The 21354-nt window shown below is 40.7% G+C and overlaps 1 protein-coding gene across 55 annotated transcripts in view, besides 1 other annotated feature; it reads right to left on the bottom strand.

Annotated features, from left to right (window-relative positions):
* Positions 1-21354, bottom strand: part of MAP4K4 (mitogen-activated protein kinase kinase kinase kinase 4) — a 196984-nt gene that overhangs the window by 87179 nt on the left and 88451 nt on the right. For all 55 annotated transcript variants that reach the window (NR_169279.1, NR_169280.1, NR_169281.1 and 52 more), the window contains one exon: positions 16736-16792. Coding sequence is in view for 51 of the 55 variants with exons in the window: in NM_001395002.1 (NP_001381931.1) it covers positions 16736-16792 (57 nt within the window). In the remaining 4 variants the exon portion in view is untranslated. The remainder of the gene's footprint in view (positions 1-16735; positions 16793-21354) is intronic.
* Positions 106-1041: an enhancer, noted in NCBI's record as "H3K27ac-H3K4me1 hESC enhancer chr2:102422933-102423868 (GRCh37/hg19 assembly coordinates)". NCBI's record gives its function as "activates a minimal SCP1, AML or CMV promoter by ChIP-STARR-seq in naive H9 embryonic stem cells {active_cell/tissue: H9 hESC(naive)}" and the evidence as "EXISTENCE:reporter gene assay evidence [ECO:0000049][PMID:30033119]".

The following is a 21354-nucleotide window of genomic DNA, read 5'->3' as shown; positions in this document are numbered from 1 at the left end:
AATGAGACAGAAATGGCACTTACCCTAACATCCCCCACCCCACCCTATGAACTATGATGTCATTATAAAGCACCTTCTGTGAAGGTAGTCAGTTCCTCAAATCATCATACAGGAGTGCCATGTTGGGCTAAAATACAGGTGACATGTCCAGGAGCAGTGGCTCATACCTATAATCTTAGCACTCTGGGAGGCCGAGGCAGGAGGACTGCGTGAGCCCTTGAGCCCAGGAGTTTTGAGACTAGCCTGGGCAATATAGTGAGACCCTGTCTCTAAAAAAAATTAAAAAATAAAAAATTAGCCAGGTGTGGTGGCACACACCTATAACCCCAGCTAATCAAGAGGCCGAAGTGGGAGAACTGTGATTCCAGGAGTTCCAGGCTGCAGTGAGCTGTTATCAAACCACTGCACTCTAGCCTGGGTGACAAGAGTGAGACAGACACTGGTCTCAGAAAAAAGAAAAAAAAAAAAAAGAAGGGTAAAAGAAAGAACTGAAAAAGGCTGCAGAAGCTATGAACCAACACTACTCCACACGTGCCCAACCACACAGAATCGCCAGGGCCAGCCAGGCCCAGGGAGATGTGCTGCTTTAACCGTAGTTCCAAATTTTAATCTCTTCTATCTCAATGGCCTTCTTCCTCCTTTCCCTTTTGAACAAAAACATCTGTACAGTCACTTTCCAAATCAACAGTTTTCTTCTGCTTTCTAAACAACTTAAGGAGGAAAAAATAACCAGGGAGTCTTCTTCAGTTCTAGCTTCAGGGGGAGAAAAATCCAGCATCTTCAGTGAGTGAACAAAAGTGAGTTCACCGGGCACATTAAAAGTGAAACAGCTGAGGCCGGACACAGTGGCTCACGCCTGCAATCCCAGCACTTTGGGAGGCCAAGGCGGGCGGATCACGAGGTCAGGAGTTCGACACCAGCCTGGCCAATATGATAAAACCCTGTCTCTACTAAAAATATATATAAAAATAAGCCGGGCACGGTGGCACGTGCCTGTAGTCCCAGCTCCTAGGGAGGCTGAGGCAGAAGAAATGCTTGAACCTGGGAGGTGGAGGTTGCAGTGAGCCGTGATCGTGCCACTGCACTCCAGCCTGGGTGACAGAGCGAGATTCCGTCTCAAAAAAAAAAAAAAAAAAAGTGAAACAGCTGAAATGAAGGCATTCACTCTTTTCTTGTATAAATGCCTTCCCCCTCACTCATTCACGAAAGAAAGATCCCCAAGGGGCCTGGGGGGAAGATGACTCATCACCAGGAAATACCACCTAACTACAGATTCCCTCAACCTAGCAGTTACTGCTGTTATTGTTGCTTTCCTAGGTATGACAAAATGTCATATCAAAGACCTTGTTTTTAAAACATCCTTCTCATTAAAAATAAGAATGAGTAGAACTTAAGAGATTTCTTTCTTCATGATCTGTAAGAGACAAAGTAGGGACAGGAGCAGGGTATGGTGGGTGGGGTGGGGCAAGAACGCAGGCTTGCTTGGAATTTTATTTATTTGGCTGTGTCTCCCTATCTTTATTCCACCCCAAACCTACACCATCTTAAGGGAGCAGGGGGAGGACATGCTGCAAGTGTAGCAAAGTCGGTAGGAAAGTAGACAACCTTGGAAACAGGGTGAGAAGGAAGCGGCAGTGAGACACAGGCCAAACAAGAATCCCAAAGAGTGCTGCACAAATTCTTTGCAGAAGACCTGTAGCAGCTGGGAAAGCTGTGTAAGCCAACAAAGATAGCAGAGAGTAAAGTTCCCAAGTCATCACACGCCAGCAACGTCATCTGCTCTTTCTCAGGACTCCTGCAGTTAAGATAATACAATTAAGTCAGAAAATAAGTGGATATTTAACCATGCCCAAACTATGAGAAATACAGACGTGAATATTTTCCCTATAACCTGCACCTCAGCATCTCTTATCCATCACAGAATTTCCTAAACTAGGTAAATTCCCTTCTATCTCTGCAGCAATTCAATTCAGCACCTGCCACATAACCAGTATTATATCAACGGCAGGAATATATTCACTTGGATGTTAGTGGGACACCACAGAATACTAAAAGCAATGAGAATAAATGAGCTCTCCCTATAAGCAGCCATATGGGTGGACCTCACAAACATAATGCTAACTGAAAGAAGCCAGACACAGAGTACCGTATGGTTCCATTTATATCAAGAACAGACACAGGCAAAAGTAATATGTGGTGAGAGAAGTCAGGACAGTGTCACCCTTGCATGGAACAGTTAGTGACTGCAAGAGGCATATCAGGGCACTCCTGGGGTACCGGCAAAGTTCTGTTTCTTGATCTAGGTGCTGGTCCATTGAAGAGTTATGTACAGTTTTTGGAAATTTACTGAGTTTATAATTTGTGTACTTTTCTGTATGCATGCTTCACTTCAATAAAAAGGTCAAAATATTATTACTTTTTTTTTTTTTTTTTTTTTTTGATCTGGAGTCTCGCCCTGTCACCCAGGCTGGAGTGCATGGTGCGATCTCAGCTCACTGCAACCTCCGCCTCCTGGGTTCGAGCGATTCTCCTGCCTCAGCCTCCCGAGTAGCTGGGATTACAGTCACGTGCCACCACGCTCGGCCAATTTTTGTATCTTTAGTAGAGACAGGTTTTCAACACATTGGCCAGGCTGGCCTCCTGACTTCATGATCCAACCACCTTGGCTTCCCAAGGTGCTGGGATTACAGGCGTAAGCCACCGCACCCGGCCCAAAATATAAAAATATAAGAGCTACTGAGGGTTGCATATATGAAGACACTTCTCCTGAATTCAGTGCTCATATAGACAAAGGCAAGTAAACGCAGCTACCCTCGAGAACTGGTTTCCCAAGACCTGTCAGCCACACTGCTACAGCACAGGTATGTTAAGGAGAGAAAAAAAGTGTCTGGGAATGTCTAGACATAAAAGAAACACGGGTAAAGGAAAACTGGCACAAGGTTCCTGTGCTCAGAGAAAAGACCCCTGGACATGCTGGGGACTTCAGAGCCCCAAGGACATCATGATAACCATCAGATAACTGACAAAGACAGTGGCAGTCCTGTTTCAGAGGCGGGTTTCCATCTAGGCAGAATTTGCACTCAGACTTGGAGACCAATCAGCACCTTAGAATACCAGGGAGAGGAGTGAGAAATAAAATTCTTTCACCCCACCATGAAATCATTTTCATAGTTCTAAACATCACCTAAAACCTCTAGCACATACTGAACTACATATAATGCCCAAGGTTCAACGGGACAATTGTTTTGCAATTAAAACAAATTGCAAAACGATCTGCAAGCTTGGGAGCAGGATTACAGCCAAAATATAATCTGGGTTCCCTGTTAGTGCACAGAGTTAAAAATCAAGGGAGAGAGTCTGACCTGTGGCACAGATGTTGCAGGCTAACGTGGAACAATAGAACAGACGGGCTGTTCATTCACCAGAAGGCAGCTTTCTAAGGGGATTTTCTGCCCTTGGAGCAGAGAGAGCCTGGCTTCCCGCAACGCTGAGGCCATTTATGGATTAACAGTGCACTACAATGTGGCAAGTTTGGATGCTAAAAACCCAGCCCATCAACTAGCTGGCTCCCTAATCCCATTTTAGATCAAACCCACAGAAGTCAACTCTCTTTTCTGTAAGGTTAGCAAAAAAGTCAGAATAACTAGGAGATAAAAATGTCTCACCAAAAATGTCTTTCCTTCTGTCAGGGTATTATGCTAATGGTAGTGAAGGGGGGGTCCGTTTCTCTAATTAAACAATCAGAGCTTTTATTCTAAAAATGATTCCACTGTCATATAAATGTTTAAGATCCTGTGTATGTTGCTACTATAGATTTTCACAAGACGTTGACAGACTAATAAAACAAGCAATTCCAGAAAGCTTTATCATATGGACAGGTTAGGCTAGAATTAGGCTTTATCATATGGACAAATTAGGCTAGAATTTATACCCCAGTCCTATGAAGAGAATGTAAACTGGAAAGCAGTTATTGGAACTAAATTCAGGAGGCAAAAAAAAGGGCAGGGGTGCTAAAGTGATCCTTTTAAAAGACTTCACCATTTTAAGTGTTTCAAAGGAATGGACACAGGTTATCTAAAACCTTCTTTCCAACTGTATTGCTTCATTTTACCACATCTCAAAGGGCATGTCACTATACAATTAAAAGACAATCCAAACTGTTTAATCATCAAATAGTTTCATGGCCTGTGCACACAGACAGACACAGACACAGACAGACACACACACAAACACACACACACATACATACACACACACACACACACATCATCATCATCATCAACCAAGCATATGTAACTTAACTTGAGTTTTGGGTTTTTTACATAAAAAGAAGGGGAGGCACTGTTCATTCGACAGTGTTTACTAAATGCCTACTATATGCTAGGCATTGAATTTGCACATTGGATGAAACATCACTAAAAAAACTGGCCATGCTCAGTGGCTGACGCCTGTAACCCCAGCACTTTGGGAGGCTGAGGTGGGCGGATCACCTGAGGTCAGTAGTTCGAGACCAGCCTGGCCAACATGGTGAAACCCCATCTCTACTAAAAATACAAAAATTAGCTGGGCATGGTGGCAGACGCCTGTAATCCCAGCTACTTGGGAGGCTGAGGCTGAAGAATCACTTGAACCCAGGAGGCAGAGGTTGCAGTGAGCAGAGATCACGCCATTGCACGCCAGCCTGGGTGACAAGAGCAAAACTCCATCTCAAAAAAAAAACAGACAAAGATCATTGTCACTATGTATGGAGGTTATATTCTTGGGAGACAGGCAGTTAGTGGCATGGTGGAGGCACTGGTATACATTAAGTAGAATAAATATGCCAGTTATATACGGTGACATAGAACAGGGCAAGAGCTTTAGGAGTAGGAAGAGGCCATTTGCTGTGTCAAGGCATGAAGAAAGTGTGGGAGTGAGCTGGGCAGCCGTGAGGGAGTGGCATTCCAGGCACAATGAACAAACAGCAAGTGACAGGTCTCTGGGCGGGATCAGGCGAGCAGGGTGGAGAAACAGTGAACAGGCCTGTGTGCTTGGAGTGACTGTGTAGAAGGAGGAGAGGAGGGCTGGGAGGCCAATCAAGTAGGGCCCTGTCATGTCAGCCACTGTAAGAACCCGTACTTTTACTCTGAGCTAAGAAAGCAGCCTATGAAAGACTCTATTCTGACTTTGTTTCCCAAGCTTCAGTCAGCTGCTACAGTGAGAAGTGACTGGAGAACAAGCATGGAGGCAGGAGGCTCGTGATAGAGGCTATGGTAGAAATCTAAGCAACAGAGGGTGGCAGCCAAAACCAGAGGGGTAGCCAAGGGTGGCAGCACAGAGGCTGTGGTGAGAAGGGTCAGATTTGTATCTGTTTGTTCTTACAGACTCTCATAGACTATGAGGAGACCATCAGACTCATTAAAACATATTATGATTTCAAAAATACTAACCAGCAGTTACTAACTTGAAGTCAATCTATCCACACCCACTATCTACCAAGATTATTCTGACACAAATGACATAGTTTGAAGGCAGAACCAATAGGATTTCCTGACAGATGAGCCAAGTGGTACAGGACAGAAAGCAAGTAGTCCACCCAGGATACAAAATCTTTTTGGGCCTGAGCAATGAGGAGGGTGGAGTTGCCACCAACTGAGAAAAGACAAGGCTCCAAGTGCAACAAGCTTATGGGGGAAGAACAGGAACTCACATGAGACATGTTGAGTTTAGGCTATCGGACTTCCAAGTAGAGATGCTGATGAGGCAGGTGATACATCAATGCAGCACTCAGGAGAGGTGTCTGTTTAGTCCTGAGGCCTGACACCATCCCTAAAAAGGGCAGCTTACAAGGTTGGCCTTTGGCTGGCATCTGGGATTTTGATCTGGGTAGGGTTTCCACCGCTCCCAGAACTGGTAAGAGTGGCTCACTGTACCTAGAATGCAGTTTACGCCAAACACCTGTTTTCCTTTTGGAAGTCTGAAATTTTGGGTGCATGCTAGGCAGAGGCTGCTTGTACTGCCATCTCCAAATAAAAATTCAATGCACTGAGTCTCTAGCAAGCTTCTTTGGTAGACAATATTTCATACGTGCCATTACGGCTCTGCTGGAGGAAGTAAACAGGGCCTATGTGACTGCACTAGGATAGGACTCTGGGAAGTCTGTGCCTGAATCCCTTCAGACTTCCTTCTACATGCCTGTTCTCTTGCTGAATTTGCTCTGGATCCTGTCATTGTGCTATAAATCACAGCGGAGAGTACATCTATGTGCTGGAATCGAAATTGAGGATGGTCTTGGGGACCTCCAACACAACATTCTTTTCTATACATTTACAGGGAATGGAAGCAAGAATGGGAAGTGTCAAGATAAAAAACAAAACTTTGCATGTACAGCCGCCCAAAGCTGAAAGGAATAAAGAAAGAGGAGGAAAGCAGAAAGCAGCAGCAGCAGCTGGGGAAAGGAGATGGGATGGTGAAAGGACAGTATCCATTTTTTTAAAAAAAACAGCAATTTAGATTATACAAAATTTGTTGGGCGATTTTTTTTACTCAACCATTTATTTTACTTAGAAAAAATGCCTTTGGTTCACAAAATGATGAAATTAAACTAAGAAACTGTGGATATTCAATCTGCTTGAAGAATGCTCATTAACAATTACAAAGATGATCCTTTCACAGCAAGTTTTAATTTACCAAGAGATCAAGAATAGTTATTCCTAAAGCATAATTAATCTTTCTATTCCACCCCAGAGCTGAGAATAGTGTTTTTAAGACTAAGTGTTCAGTACTTGTTTAAATAAATGAATTAGTGCAACTCCATGAACAGCATTAAAAACAAAAACAAAAAACCTACAAACCATGGTATACATTTGCCATTTCCAGTCCCAACGAACCAAAATTATATCTGAACAAAGCAATTAGTAGTCATATTTTCAATAAGAATGAATATGATACTTTTCTCTATTCCTTTTTTATATTTAAAACTAGCCAACAAATTAGTAAATGTATGATTATTAAAATATAGTAGCACATAAATATTAATATAAAGGCTGTCTGTAATCTTTTAAAAGGGACACTATATATATTTTTTGCTACTGCTCAAAGCACTTTCGGAAATTCTCCTTTAAAACTGCCTTTTGGCCAGGTGTGGTCCCTCACGCCTATAATCCCACCACTTTGGGAAGCCAAGGCAGGAGGACTGCTTGAGCCCAGGACTTTGAGACCAACCTGGGAAACACAGGGAGACCTGGTCTCTACAAAAAATTTTAGTCCCAGTTACTCGGGAAGCTGAGGTGGGAAGATCTCTTGAGCCTGGGAAGTTGAAGCTGCAGTAAGCCATGATCACACCACTGCACTCCAACCTGGGGGATGAAGCAAGATCCTGTCTCAAAAAATTATTATTTTTTTTTTTTTTAAGGAGAAGAACAACAAGAACTGCCTTTTGTCTTGGGGCATTCTTTAGAAAGAGCAAATATATGCTAAGCACCACCCACGTGAATGAAGGGTGCTGTCATGAACCTAGAAGGGCTGAGATAATCCTACAAGAGGGTATGATCTAGAATAGAAAAACATACACATAAATGAACATGTGGCCACTGTTCTCTAGCTAACGATTAAAATAGCAGAAGAATCGGCAGGGCTCAGTGGCTCACATCAGCAGTCCTAGCACTTTGGGATGGCCAAGGCAGGAAGACATCTTGTGCCTAGGAGTTTGAGACCAGCCTGGGTAACACAGTAAGACTTCGTCTCTACGAAAAATTTTAAAAATTAGCTGGGCATGGTATCACACATCTGTAGTCCCACCTACTCAGGAGGCTGAGGTAGGAGGATCACTTGAGCCCAGGAAGTCCAGGCTGCAGTGAACCCGGATGATGCCACTGCCCTCCAGCCTGGGCAACAGAGTGAAGCCTATCTGAAAAAACAAAAATCAAAAATGAAACAAAAAAAAAAAACCCACACACATATACAGCAGAAGAAGACAGTTCACAGGGCAAAGGTAGTTATCAAAGGACCAAACAGTGATGGCTGTAACCACAGAGGGGCTGAAGAAGGAGCCTGCAAGGAAGAAAGACAAGGAGAAAAGGATTGCCACAGGTGGAGGGAGGCAGGTGGAGAGTGGATCATTTGAGTAAGTGGCTGAGGAGGGTATTGGGAGTGTTTAAAAGCCTTCAGCAAAAGTGATACTTTAATGTCTTTAATAAGGAGAAGGTAACAAGGAAACTCACATTTACTATGTAAAAACTAATAGACTACATACTTTACATTAATTTTAATTCTGACAAAAGCCTCTGAAGTAGGCATTATTCCATTTTACAGATGAGGAAACTGAGCTTTATCATGCTTAAAAGTATGTATTGCTGTCTTGGGGAAAAAGGCAGGATATGACTACTAAATAATGAGGTTAACTGCCTAGGAGGCTCATACACTATAAATTCACCTTGAAAATTATTTATGGGCCTCAAATTTATGTTCCTGGGAAAGAGGAGCAAAAGATTAAATCATTTTTATTAGTTCAGTGACAATTCTAAAAATGAAACCCAGAAATGTACTCACTCCTAACCACTCCAATAATTTTCTTTCCTAGAGGGATGAAATTTAAGTGTGAAAGTAAGTAAGAGGTCTTGCTGTTATTTATGATTAATGTTAGCATCTAAAATGTAAATATTTGTGATTACAAAAGATGAGAATGACATGGAAAATTATAAATATTGCAATAGAAGACTGTTTTCTTGGACAATGAAACCAGTAGTGTGTATCTACTATGTTTTCTCCAAGTGCACGGAACTCATGCAACCACCAAAAATGGAACACCCTATTTAATTCATCAAATATTTGAGTGTCTACTACTTATATAGCATTGCATCTTGTTAGGTACCACTACTTTAAAACCCAAATACAGAATACCACTGCTATACTCCTGTAGTGAACTGGGAGATGTGGTGTAATAAAAGCAAGTCCAGGACTCTATTGTGACTTTAGACAGGTCAAGCACCTCTCTGAATTCCAACTGTCGTCATCCATAAATAAAGTGAAGACTTTTCAACATGAAAAATGTAAAACATCACAGGCATAAAGCTAACCTAGTCTTAACCTTCCTCTGCTTACTGACTTATTAAATGGGTTAAAACAGCAAGAGAGAATTTTCGTATTTTGTATTTTTATATTACTCTACACCAAGTGTTCTCAATGGGGCTGATATTGTCCTCAAGAAAATTTACTACTTTTAAGTGTAAAGACATATATACAGTACATAAACATATATAGTTATATACAGATATACAGTATATCTGTACTATTAAAATTTCACAGGGAATGATTAGAAGGGCGGGTGCTGTGGCTCATACCTGTAAATCCCAGCACTTTGGGAGGCTGAGACATGAGGATTGCTTGGGCCCAGGAGTTTGAGACCAGCCTGGGCAACACAATAAGACCCCATCTCTCAAAAAAAAAAAATTATTGTAGGTGGCACACTCCTGTAGTCCCAGCTACTCAGGAGGCTGAGATGGGGGGGATCATTTGAGTCTAGGAATTTGAGGTACGATGAGCTAGACTCGTGCACTCTAGACTTGTGCACAGCTAGACTTGTGCACTCTAGCTTGGGCAACAGAGTAAGACCTTGGTCTCCAAAAAAAAAAAAAAAAAAAAACTAAAAGAATGTTTTAAAAAGCTTCATAGGGAGGAGACAGTCAAAAAAACGGAAGGTTGAAAAAAACTGCTGTAATATATGAGGATACAGTGGAACTATTAGTTCTCAAAATCACTATACTTGTTAAAATAAATCAATAATTAAATAAAATGTAGTTGATTTTAACTGATTTTAAGAGCTTTTCTTCAAGGTCTTGTCTTATACCAGTATTTAAAAAATAAATAAATAAATAAACTTGTGGCCTTTTATCTATCTACACAAGGCTGAGTAAGGAAACCAACCCAAATTGGGAAGTTAAAATTTAAGATCAAAGATCATTCAAATCAGGTTAAAAGTTGTCTAAGGTAAGAAAATACAAGACGAGGAAATTTAGCATCCCACAAACATGGCACATTAGTTTTTCTCTCAGTAGCTAAGGGAAAAGCAGAAGATAAGAAGATAAGGAGGGAGGGGGCGGTGCAGGAGGGGGATACAGACTGTCAAAAACTGATACATTTCTGGCTCACCCTGACAACGTTGAATGATCCTGTGGTAAGTCTGCCAGAGTCATGCAAAGCACAGGGAGAAAGTGCCACCAACACCCTAAAACAGAAGAAGCCAGTACGAAGCTGTAAGGCCTGTAGCATTTAGCTGGCCTCTGAGGAATAACAGAATAGAACAATAGGTCCCACAGGCCACAGAGATCTCTCCTTCCCTTCCTTTTGTTCTTATTTTCAGTCTAGACAAGAACAACACATTCATTACATTGTGCTCCCCTCCAAATGAAAAGGGTAAAATTGTTCAGTGTTATATGGCCTTGTGTTATCACTGGAATATGCTTGTTTTACTCCCTCGTACCAGAGCATGAACTCCCTGAAAGCAAGGTGTCCTGCCCATGCGTGGTCAGAGCTCAGAAGGCATTCAAAAATCTGTCCATCAGAAGTGACATATATTGCTTAGCTTCTTGTATGGCTCTTGCCTTTCCACATATGATGACAGGCAGAGGCCAGATTCTTACTTGGCTGCTCTAGGAAGGGCTTTTACACAGCTTTTACTTCCACATATCCATGGAACATGGCGCTAGGAATACTGGAAGATGCTCAATCTTCCAGTATACTGGCTCTTCCAGTATACTGGCTCCCAAAAGACATCATGCCCAATATCTTCCCAACCCCTAAGTAATATGACAGAATTACCATTCACAGACACTGTAGTCTTAAAACTAAAAGAAAGTCTGCTCTGACAAATCTGCTAAAAACAAATTTTAAAAAGGAGAAGTGTGGTCAAGATCCATCTATCCTTTAAAGTTCAGATCCAACCAGCTCACTCAACGAGCTTACTTAAAAACCTGATGTTTGAAATGGTTATACTTTCACAAGTACAGTAAGTAGGGAATCAAAGATCCAGGTTCTAATTCCTGCAGTGTCTAATTAGCAATGTACTCCTGAGCAAGAAGTTATTAGCGTCTCTGAGCTGCAGTTCTTCACCGACAGACAGAAGGGAGTGGGCTCTTTCTTTCCCAAGGCTCCATTAAAGCAGGGGGTTTCAAACTTAAAGGTGCATTAGAATTTTTTGGAGGGCTCCAGTCCTGAGTTTCTGATGCAGTAATCTGGGATGGAACCAGAGGCTACATTTCTAACAAGTTTCCAAGTACTCGCAGCAGCTGCTGGTCCAATAGCTACATTTTGAGAATCCCCTGCTTTAACAGCATCCTATGCCCGAGTGGCTGAGAAAAAGGACCACATGTTGGAAAGGCCACTGGACAGGCCAGAAGACTAGATTGGATACAGCTCTGCTACTCAGTGCTGATGAAATGCAGTCAAACATCATTCACTCCAAAGAGCACCGTTTCATCCCCATCTGACATAAAACACCACATAATAAGTTTGCCTCTGTTCTCTGTGCATTAACCTAAGAAATGTTTGTCCTTGATTTATCCAAAGCAAAGGGCCAAAATAACTTCAGAAAAATCTTAAACTTCTCCCCTCCATGTCTATTTTAAGTAGTAATATTATTATAATACTGTGAACTTTATATTCACTGAACATAAAAATGTGTTGTTTTATCAGGAACCAATATTTTCAGTATAAGAGAAAAGACAAAGAAACATAAGATATACAAGACACAAGAAATTAAGAAATTCTGGTTTTTGAAAAAATGTACTTCTTAGCTCTGTCTACTCAAAGGGCCTAGAAGCAGTAATACCTCAGTAGCAATGAGCATACTTAGCATCCAGATATTAGTCTCCAAATATATTTCCCACTCAACAGAACTAAGGCTCCTCAGAGGAGAGTATTCCATGTCTTGGTAGGTGAGTTTCAAATATCTACTTGTTCCAGAAAACAAGGAAGTACTCAAAAACTAATAGTGGCACGTCAAAAGGCCACAGACTCCATGGGGACCCATTGGGTTCATGTCAAAGGCTCTCACTGGCAAATATGGTACAACTTGATTATGTAATAATAACAGCTGTAATTGATGGAAACCACTCATGTCCACAGGAATATCCAGACAAAGAGAGAAGGGAAGGGGTAGGTAGGAAACTCTTCTACAGATTGTTGTTGACTAATAAATACAAAAGGAAGAACGTAAAATCATCATTTTGCAATAATAACTAACCTAAGCAAGAATCATTAAATGAATGCCAAAGCCATTAGTTGAAAGGTTGCTCATGAACAGAATATTCACACAGTGCCAAAGTATCACCCTGGAGATAGATTACTTAGGAAATGTAAAACTAATAATGCACCCTTATGGTGGAGAACGCTGGCAGTCACCTCCAAGAGACCCAACTTGGCTTCACTAATAATGGGAAGGCTATGAGTGAAGTGGGCTTCACCTAGAACTGACGTACTCCCTGACGTGAGGCAATATGAAGTACCCAATACCACCACTGAGGTGTTCTTGCCAAAAAATATTTAATCTGCATCTAATCAAACCTCTCAACATATTTCCAGTCTACAGGAAATATAGGAGAGAAAGGAACAAGTTAAAGCATAACATGAGGAAACCATCAAATCCAGAATACAGGATACTTTACAAAACAATCTGGCTAAATTCTTACAAAAGTCAATTTTCTTTAAAAATAAAAATAAAAATAAAAATGGAGGCAGGAAAGTAAAGAGAAACTTACTGCTTAAAAATAAGCGATATAAGATAACTACGTATAGTGCATAAACCTGGACTATGATTCAAAAAGAGTTATAAAAACATTCTTGGCACAAGCAAAGATATATGAATGTAGGCTGAACATTAGGTAAAATTTTATGATACGTAGAAGACTGTCTTTAAGACAAGCATGCTCAAATATTTTCAGGTGAAGTGTCATGGTGATAGCTGTAATTATTTTCAATAACAGTACACACACACAAACAAAATGTTAACAAATGTTGAATATAAGTGAACAGCCGAGAGTGTTCATTCTTTCAACAGCTGTGGATGTATGAACTTTTTCATAATAAAAAGTTAGGGGACACTATTAAAATGCAAAATAAAATTCTGTTCTCAGAGACAAACCTCACTCAAAGAGTTTATGAACTCCAAGTTGAGCAATCACTGGTAAAAGCAATCATTTGCCTTGCTTTGTTTTGTGCATGTACTTAAGTTATAATATTGTACTATAGTTATGCAAGATTTTATCAGGAAAACTGAATGAACGGTACATGAGACCTCCCTATACATTTTTCTGCAAATCCTCTGTCATTATTTAAAACAAAAACAAAAACAAACCACATTATAGATCTGCTATCCTAATACCATCCACTTTGAGCACATCCTTAATCTGTTCCTTAAACCCTTCCCAAAACCAATCAGATAAAAGACATGCTTTCCCTAAAAAGAGCCTTTCAAAATCCTAAGGATAGTCAATTCTTAATACAGCTGAAGTACTCACACACAAAATTTGAAGAGAACTTGACATCTCTTGCAAATAAATGCCTCCCCACTTCCAGACCCCTTGGTTTCCTCCATAGTCCCTTGTCACCTCACCCGAGGATGAAATCTGTAATTCTCAGCTGGTTTTGTTTTCCAGATTCACATAATCAAGTAAAGCAAGTGAAGTGGGCCCACATCTTTGCATTGTCTGCAGCCAGCTCTAGAGCTAGATTCATTCAGCCTGCCAACAGCTGACAGCTCGGGAGAAGAGCAGCCACACCATTCAATTTCCCACACCTGCTGCAATTCTTGCCTTCTGGGCCTGAGGAATAACTAGTGACCTGGTAACTGCCTCTCACTTTCACCTAAAGAGTCAGAACCAATCTGTGATTTTTCCCAAAAACAAGTATTTGCACCTTTTTGCTCCTGAGATGAAACTAAGTGGAGGTAAAAAAAAAAAAAAAAAAAACCATGAAGAGTCCTGTTCTCATCAAGAGAACCCGCTCCAATAGCCCCTCCTGCTGGAGTTGGAACCAGAAGCACATGCTGCAAAATCTCTCTCATTCAGCCTGCTCCCCACTTGCTCCCAGGTCCCAGCCAGGCCAATGCCTACAACTGCACAAGAGGAGCTAAGAGGAGCTTTGACATGCAGGCTTGGCAAGGGCTTGTTTTCCAGGCTGCCTGCTGTGCATGGCCCTCTATCCATAAGCAACACTTACTATGGGCAATGACTGTGCCCCATGCTATAGCAAAGGTCACTGTATGAAAACAGCACACAAGAAACATGGACAATATGGTAAATAGTTAATTGTGTTTGTATAATACTTATTTGAGGACTCACCATCTGGTTTTCATTTTACCTGAATACATGGGTTTTGCAATAATTGCTTTTAAAGGAGTCCCAAAACTACTTATATCATGCATGTGTCCAACATTGCCTGATTTTTCAGGCAAGAAAATACCTTTTGTACACAACTCAACAAAAGTGGGATACAAAAGCATCCATTACACATATCGGTATGTATTTTATAGCTATGTTCACAGAAACATGATTGAAAGGAAATACACTGAAGCACTAACAACAGCTATCATAAGGTAGCAGAGGGCCAGACGCGGTGGCTCACACCTGTAATCCCAGCACTTTGGGAGGCTGAGGCGGGTGAATTGCTTGAAGTCAGGAGTTCAAGACCAGCCTGGCCAATATGGTGAAACCCTGTCTTACTAAAATACAAAAATTAGCTAGGGGTGGCAGTGGGAGCCTGTAATCCCAGCTACTACAGACGCTGAGGCAGGAAAATTGCTTGAACCCAGGAGGTGGAGGTTGCAATGAGCAGAGATTGCACCACAGCACTCCAGCCTGGGTGACAGAGTGAGACTCCATCTCAAAAAATAAGAAGAAGAAAGAAGAAGGAGGAGGAGGAGGAGGAGGAGGAGGAGGAGAAGGAGGAGAAGGTGGCAGTAAGTATAAGGATTTAACTTTTTCTTTATATTTTCCTATATTTTACACTTCTTTTTTTACAGTGATCACATATTGCACACTTATAATCAGAGCCAGGCTTCGGTGAAGAAGAGCTCTACAGAGAAGGCAAACCACATTTAGATTCCATTAGAGATGTGAAAGAGGACGTATCCTGACCGGCCACAACAGCTGTGTCAGGGGAGGCAGCACAGGTTGAATGACACTACAAGAGTGAACTCTCAGTTCATAAAATTCCAAAAGATTACATTTAAAATTGTACCTACAAGTCTGCCAGTAAACAAGTCAAAAAGTGTGTTAATAAATATGCAAAGACCGTATTTTCCAGCAACACCACTCCCAACACAGCACCGGCAAGATGCACAGCATTCGGAATGGAGACTTTGGTAGGAAGGTGGTATTGATCATTCCATTCACAAAGAGGGTACTTCATAAATAGCTCAACTACTGTATTTAAATTATAATAAGCAAGAAGTTACTGTTCCTTCAGTAAAATTTAAAATCACCTTAAAATAATATTTTATTGGAAAGCATCCAATTTCCCACTGAGCTGTACACCAAGATAGGATCACTATAATACAACAGAATAGTCTACATCAGAGTATGTCAAGGAGAATCTTTTGGCCATTCAACTAAGCAACGGTACATTTTCATTTTAAAGTACCCATTATTCTCTTTAACAGAGAAAAGAGAGTGGTCACCTCATAAAATGTCACATCTTCAAATACTTATGGAAGGCTCTATCAGTTGTCCTGTGGTCCAGAGACAACAGTGTTTTCCAATTCTTACTGACAAATACCCATGCTGAAGATGACCATGTTGTCAGAGACCCAGCAAAGAGCAAGGCAAAGGAGGAGATTTTGCTCTCTGGATAGCACACTAGAGATCAGGTTAGCCATTATCTCCCTTGACAGACCCCAGACTTGGGGAAGTTATGGCTGGATTTAAAGTTATCCTAAATCTCCAATGCTGCTAGTGAACTCTTTCTAGAATCTGTGAAATATGATATTGAATCCTATTCATAACTAGGCAAGTTAGGGGCAAACATGAGCATAAAGTAAAATTTCAGATAAAAATAATTTAAAATGAAATGGATTTAGTTCATTATAATATATTACTATTTTTAAAGAATTTAAATATGGGCTCGTGCATATATTACATGCACACACACAGGCACACATACATTTACTTTCTGTCTCGGTCACGTTCTCCTCTTTCCCATCTAAAGCTGCACAGTAAATCCTCATGCGACCATTTCAAGAACTATTTTTTGCTACTAAATTTTGCCAACAATCTGCTCAGCATTCTAGCAGATGTTTCTGTTTTCCAACCTCTGGGAACTTGGCTGGGTCTGTTTTCCTCCCCCATGTTAAAAATAAAAGAAATGGCACAAATGTGGCCTAATACCCTAGAGAAGCTTTTCTCCACTCGAAACCCTCAATCTCCCTATTCATGTGACCTCCATGATCCCTTTTCAAACTTTTTCTTTTCCATTAGAGAAGATGTTTCCAATTATGTCCCATTACGTTGCCAAGGATGACATCACTCAGATGTGTGTGTGCACTGCGTGTGTTTTGAGAAAATGCTACTGCCTTTTAGTTACTTGGAGACCGTGTACTACAATTTAGGCCAACTAGTCCACTGGACCTATGAACCCACAATGTCACAGGAGGGCAATTTGTTCAAGTAATCAGATTTTCCAAACAGAGTAATACTCTGTGTTGTTGGGGGAATCTTTGTCTTCCATCTAACATTATTTAAAAATGTGTGTGACTCAATCTTACCTCAGTGACATCCATAACTTTGATGGCTGCCAACTGACCCGTTTTAACATGTCGACCCTGAAAAACAGAAAAAATAGATCAAAAATCAGCACCAATTTTTTTGCACAATCATTAGAACAAAATGGCTGAAGTTTCCAACAAATCGTATCTCAACTATACTTATCTCTGACTAACCAAAAGTGATGACGAAATAGTCCTGTGCTCTCCAATACAACAATATGGTTTATAATGAACCACACTTAATAAGCAAGACAATTCGATGAACAAATGAGTTTTTGATAAAGCATCAATTACTTCTTTCCTTCACAGGTTTAATTTACATAACACTATCTCAAAGAAACTTTTTTTTTCTCTAAGGATTTAACTTTTTCTTTATATTTTCCTATATTTTACACTTCTTTCCTTCACAGGTTTAATTTACATAACACTATCTCAAAGAAACTTTTTTTTTCTACAAATCATGTTGGCCATCCTTTCCTTCTTAACTTGCTACAGGAAAAAAAAATGATCCCCAAAAAACCCTCTAGAGACTTTTTATTGTCAAAAATGGATAACTGTAATTTTTCCCTGTGTATTCCCAATACCCATTACTTTACTTCGCAAGAATTACACTGAAAGTCTTCTTTGAAGCTCTCCTGCAGTCCCAATGTAGGGACTGCAAGAAAGAAACAAGCTAAAGCATAACATGACGAAACTATCAAACAAATTCTTTTTTTAAAATTATTTCCCTCCTCCCACCAACTTCTTTATACACTTCTTTAAAATTCTGGGATTTTTTTTAAGTGTATAAAGAAGTCGGGGGGATGAGGGAGACAGGTTTCTTACAGTTGTATTATAATGCCTCACCTGGAATCTAAAATCCTATAACCCATTTATATCACTAGATACCAGACATACTTGATATCATTCTCCTTTCACCCAGATGAGGAGTACTGGGTTTAATTACTGTCAGTCTTGTTACTCTCTACCCACTCTTTGCAATGCCCTGCTGGTCATTTCTCAGGCCAGTAGCAAAGAGCATCCAGATATGCTGAGCATGATCTACTTAACAACTTTGTGAGAAACGGTCCTTCTGCAACAGATGTAAAACAGAAAGAACATCCCCATATTTTCCAAAAGCCTGTCCCTCTTGTGTCTCATGACTTAAAGAGTTGTGAACTTTGAAACTTTAAATCTGAGGAGAGTCTGTGTAGGAACTCAAGTTACAACTTGGACAAAGCAACTCTATGAAAATGACACTGTATTACAACTATGACACTGAGTAACTGTACCTGGGTAAGACACCGCTTGGTATGCCTCAGGCTCCTATCTATATAAGTGAGATCATAGTAGTGCCCACTTCATAGGGCTTCTGTGTACAATAAATGGGGCACAAGGAACATTGTGTGGCACATGGTCAGTGGTCAAGCACAACCCTGGAACCCTGTTTCCTAAATTAATGATAGCTCCTATAGTTGTGACTGCCAACACAACCTAAAACCAAATGATGATTTTGTTGAACCCAAGGAGAAAGAGTAGAATTTCAGAGGATATAGTATTAAGTGATCCTCTCATACTTTCCACATAAGCGTACAAAGTTCATCTCCTTGGCAACTAACCAACCTTCAAACCTGTTATTCACCCCCTGCAGTGAGTTTATTTCCAAATTACTAAAGCATATTTCTCGCTGACAGAAACCAAATGATGAGGGAAAATGTCACATGCACTGTCCTGGCTTTCCTTCTTTTCAAGAGGGTAATTTAGTATGCTGCATTGGGAATGTGTTAGTAAAATGTTGGGGATGGAAGGGTCTTCTGAGTATCTGATAGGGTAACACCTAAGATCCCTACAAATCAAGAAAATCCACGGGTCTATGAAAAAGCCTCCTCAGACATTTATAGAGTAGGATCTTTTTTTTTCTTTTTTCAAACAAATCTTAACATAAATAAAGCCATAAGGAGCAACAGAAAATGGTCTATGCTTCCCTCTATGCCTGAACTCAAGACCACAAGTGTGTATCCTCAAGACTTAGTCAGAAAGTGGCATAAAAGCTGAGAACTGTGAATTCACTCAGCATCTGCTTTATAAAAAACATGAGTTTCCCTTACTAAGGGAACAGAGTATAAGGAACTAAAAACTAATCAATTATTTTTGTGATGAGGCCAGACCATGTGACAGCATCAGTCTTCATTATCACTTACTAGGTCTCCAAATTAGATCCATTTTAAATTTAAACCAGAAAATCATCTAAGAATTCTGCCTTCCTCCTTCCAAACAAGACACTGTACCGGGAAAAATTAATCTGGGACCCAGGCAGCTTTGAGCTCTCTTTCCTTGTCCATCACCCCATCACTCTATTTCCTCAGGAAAGTTGCTTAAGTTCTAGGAGTTTCCGACCCCATGTTCAGGTGCTTCGCCCCCGTTCTAGAGTCCGGCAGGTGGTAGATAAAGTGCAGAGAGTCTATAAGGCCCTAGCCCTGACCCTGACACCCAGTGGGCTCTTGGCAGGGATTCATCCTCATTCCACTCCAACAAAGGCCCATGCTGATTTCCTTGCTCCTTTCTCCTTGTAGACTGCAATTGTCTCAAATGTAGTCAATGTAGGCCCATTTCTAATTTTTGAAAGGAATGGCCAATATAAGGGGAGGGAATGGGGTGCTAAAATAATGTACTTCTCTATTTAAAAAAAAAAAAGGCCAGGTGAAGTGGCTCATGCCTATAATCCCAGAACTTTGGGAGGCCAAGGCAGGTGGATCACCTGTGGTCAGGAGTTCAAGACCAGCCTGACCAACATGGTGAAACCCCGAATCCACTAAAAATACAAAAATTAGCCCAGTGTGGTGGCGTGCACCTGTAATCCCAGCTACTCAGGAGGCTGAGGCAGGAGAATTGCTTGAACCCAGGAGGTGGAGGTTGCAGTGAGCTGAGATCGTGCCACTGCACTCCAGCCTGGGTGACAGAGCGAGACTCTGTCTCAAAAAAAAAAAAAAAAAGCAAACTTCTAAATTTGAAACTAATAGTAATCATCTACCTGCTGAGATGGGTCACCTTTGTGCAAAGGAACCAAAATGGCCAGCAAAATAGTCTTGGGAGAAAAACTAAAGCCGGGACTCAATGTACTTGTACTGAATGTTAATATTCATATAATTGTGTGCTAAGGAAGCTACACCAAGAGTTTTTTAAAGGACAAAAGTTTGCCTGTGATTTATTCAATACCACCCAAGAGGGAATATACTGACTCTCCGCTCAGGGTGGGCTACAAGCTTAAGCCTGCGCTAGCTGGGTGGCCCAACTCACAAGGGAGACCCTTAGCACACCTCTCCTGGCATCTCTTTAGCTACGACACACGACCCTCCTTCATACCACCTGAAGGGTATTTAAAGAGAAAATGAAAATGCACGTAACTATAAATGGACTGCATTATGCTGGGAACTTAAGGACACAGGAAAAGGCATTACTCACTGATGTTTGGGGGTAGACATCTATTATATCATCCCATTTTGGCCTCTATAATGTTTCTTAAGGGCTGCTTCATCCAGCCTACTCACTGAAGATGAGCAATACATCATGTTCCTTCACCTAACTCTGGATTACTGGATCACTCTGGACCCACCTGATGGTGGGTCACTCAAACACCTAACTTGTGCATGGAGAGATTCTGAACTTAATATTTAACAGGGTCTTTTTTTTCCCTTGTATCATCCATTCTTTAAATATGCCAGTAAATTACTTGGTCAGTATTAAATATACATACCTAGCATCCATTTATGAATGTTACTCTCTTGTCCTATTATCTACATTTCTTGGGCACAGTATCTCATCCAGGGATAAAATAAATATAAAATGCCAGATGGCAGAGATTAAAGATTCATGGTTTGCTTTATTTACACAGTACCACGTAAACATTAATGTGTTTATAAGACAATTAGTGATTTAAAAGCCCCCAAATACTATTCACATCTATTTTCTCAACCGATCCTAAAAAATCCTATGAGGGCAACAAAGCAGGTCACTAGCCTGTTCTACAGATGAGAAACTTTGAATTTTCTTCAGTTATCTGCCCACGATACAATGGCAGCAGGATCCCCCTTCCACAGTGATTTTATATACATACTTCAAGAGAGGGACTCCTACTGTTTCTACTAACTCGTCAAATTTCTATCAAAATATTTTGTTTTCAAAGAAACAGCTTAAGTTACTTCCCCTCTATGCTTTTAAGGGTTAGCAGACATAGCATGATTTAGAATTAAAATTTTTCTTCCAATCAACATCATTTCACGTAGCTTGAATGGCTCAAATAACCAGAACCGTTATCCCCTTTGATAGAGCAACCTTCTTAGTTTCTGGTTCATTTTTAGTCTTTAAATTTCAGGAAAATGTATGTTTTTTTTTTAAGAAGAAAACTCAAACTATTCTTAATAGAGGTCCAAGCTGAAGAAAATGGCCTGATTTTCAACTTTCTTTATGTTTCTAACCAAGTCAAAATTGCCACCTCACACTCGAAAAACCATCACACTAGAAAACCCATCCCACATGGTTTTAAATGCGGGGCACTATGGCAGCCTATTTGTCTGCCTCTAATGAAATCTGCCCCTGGCCCATAGAGAGGAGCCTAGAGGTAGAAGAAACAGCATTCAAAA

Source organism: Homo sapiens, chromosome 2, assembly GCF_000001405.40.
Source record: "Homo sapiens chromosome 2, GRCh38.p14 Primary Assembly".
NCBI classification, from domain to species: domain Eukaryota; kingdom Metazoa; phylum Chordata; class Mammalia; order Primates; family Hominidae; genus Homo; species Homo sapiens.
This window is presented reverse-complemented; position numbering and strand designations above follow the sequence as displayed.